Source organism: Homo sapiens, chromosome 4 (assembly GCF_000001405.40).
Source record: "Homo sapiens chromosome 4, GRCh38.p14 Primary Assembly".
NCBI lineage: Eukaryota > Metazoa > Chordata > Mammalia > Primates > Hominidae > Homo > Homo sapiens.
Window position 1 is genome coordinate 118640674 of NC_000004.12, and position 2837 is coordinate 118643510.

A 2837-nucleotide genomic window follows, 5' to 3' on the forward strand; every position below is an offset into this window, starting at 1 on the left:
AGCTGCAGGACAAGTTCGAGCATCTTAAAATGATTCAACAGGAGGAGATAAGGAAGCTCGAGGAAGAGAAAAAACAACTGGAAAGAGAAATCATAGATTTTTATAAAATGAAAGCTGCCTCTGAAGCACTGCAGACTCAGCTGAGCACTGATACAAAGAAAGACAAACATCGTAAGAAGCAATAGTTTCTCTTACTATTCTGAGAGCCTTATCATTCTACATCCCATCTTCCTGTGAGATTGTCTTTGTAGCATTTAACTCTAATTGCAGTTCTCATTTTAAAAATTGGCTTGCTTATTGTATATTTTCCCCAACTAAAGCGTGAACTCCTAGCAGGGCGTGGTGGCTCATGCCTGTAATCTCAGCACTGTGGAAGGCCGAGGTGGGTCGACTACCTGAGGTTAGGAGTTCGAGACCAGCCTGACCAACATAATGAAACGCTGTCTCTACTAAAAATACAAAAATTAGCTAGGCGTGGTGGCTGGGACCTGTAATCCCAGCTACTTGGGAGGCTGAGGCAGGAGAATCACTTGAACCCTGGAGGTGGAGGTTGCAGTGAGCAGAGATCTCACCATTACACTCCAGCCTGGGTGACAAGAGCAAAACTCCATCTCAAAAAAAAAAAAAAAGGTGAACTTGAAGGCAGGTCCTGTGTCCATCTTTTCAGATTCTGTATCCCAGCACTTAGGACATAGACAAACACGAAGATGACAATCAATATTTGCCAAAATGAAAAAACAAAAGAAACGTAACATCATGTAAAAGAAGCTGGTTAGGTGGAGAAATTTCTTTACCATAGTCTTGCTTGTGGATCCAGTAGTGACTTTTACATTTTATATCTAAATAGAAGCTGGAGGCTTTGTTGGGGACTCATAGGCATAAAATATTATGCTATTTATTATAGAGTTAAATGCTACAAAGACAAATCTAATTAATAGGCCTATTTTCCTTTTTAAATTCTACTCATAATTTCTTCATAGTTTTTATGATAAAAGGTTGGATTTTGATTAGAACTCCCATGCTTTTGTGTCAGAATTAAAACTGGTATTAGAATAAATAATTCAAAAGCTAGAGAAAGAGTACAATGAGAAGCCATGAGTTGCATTTGAATTATAATATTATGTCTTACAGATTTGGGGTATATACTAAAGTTACCAAGTTGTAGAAAATCAGGCCGGGCATTGTGGCTCACATCTGTAATTCCAGCACTTTGGGAGGCCGAGGTGGGCGGATCATTTGAGGTCAGGAGTTCGAGACCAGCCTGGCCAACATGGTGAAACTCCGTCTGTACTAATAGTACAAAAATTAACCAGGCGTGATGGTGTGCATCTGTAGTCCTTGCTACTCAGAAAGCTGAGGCAGGAGAATCGCTTGTACCCAGGAGGCAGAGGTTGCAGTGAGCAGAGATTGTGCCACTGCACTCCAGCCTGGGTGACAGAGTGCTATGAGTCACCACACCTGGTATGAGCCACCGTGCCTGGCCCACAATGACTTTTACACAAGTTGTTAAATCATCTTACAGATTTTATAATTTGGGGGAAGAAAAGTTTTACTAAATGGTCTTTTAATGGAAACTCTACAAGAACCAGAATCTTTGCTTTGTTCACTTATGTATCCATTCCTAGGCCTAGAAAAATGTCTGACACATAGCGGCAATTATTCATTGAATAAATGGACCCAGCGATAGTACATTAGCTGTGCTATATGCATACATTAAAGATGTAGATTATTGACTTTCAAAAGATAATTAATGTAACTTCTTACTGCTTCTGATCATGTTTGTGAGTTATATTGCTGAGGGACCTTTATCTTCTCATTCTTTCATCTTAACCCAGTGTTATAAAATTGAAATCACCAATATTATTCCATATCTAAAATTAATATCTACCTTGTAAAAAATATCACTCTGCTGCATTTGAGAATAGACTTTTTAGGTAATAATGATGCAATCCGTAGGGTTTTTTGGGGGCACAGGGGGATTCATGCTAATAGAACATTTTATTTTGTATTTTCCCAGAGCTGTAAAACATGAAATTAGGGTAGTATAAGGCATATTTTTACTCTTTTTATAATTTTTTCTAAAAAAAATTAGTGTTTGTTCCCTATATAACTTTTAACTTTATAGGTAAATATTTGTCTCGTTCAGCTCCAGTTTTATGTGAAATAGAGTTTTCAGATTTATGTAGCATGGAAAGTTTTAATACGTCAGAGTTACTGATTTTTGCCAATCATTTTCTCAATTATTTCTTTTTTATCTTTAGTTGATTTTTTTGTAGTGACATTTTGTTTCTAGTCTCATTTCCTTTTGTTTATATTCTATGTATATTTCGTTTTTGGTTACTATGAGAATTACATATAACATCCTAGAGTTATAACATTTTAATTTGAATTTATTCAACTTAAGTTCAATCACATACCAAAATTCTACTGCTATATATATAGCTCTACTCTTTTTATGTTATTGATGTAACAAATTATATCTTTATTCATTGTATACCAGCTAACAGATTTACAATTACATTTTATGCATTTCCCTTTTAAATTATGTAGAAAATAAAAAGCAGAGTTACAAACCAAAATTACAATAGGACTGTTTTTATATTTGTTTATGTATTTACCTTTACCAGAGAGCTTTGTATATTCATACAGCTTGCTTATTTACTTTTATAGTTATTGCCTAGAGTTCATTTATTTCAACCTGAAGGACTTAACACTTCTTGAATGGCAAATTCAGGGATAAATGGATTTTTTTCAGTTTTAAAAAAAAATCCGGAAATGTCTTAATTTCTTCCTCATTTTTGAAGGATAAGTTTTCCAGCTATAGATTTCTCAATTGA

General features: G+C 35.3%; 1 pseudogene; it reads left to right on the top strand.

Moving 5' to 3' along the window:
- Positions 1-2579, top strand: SEPTIN14P4 (septin 14 pseudogene 4; annotated as a pseudogene).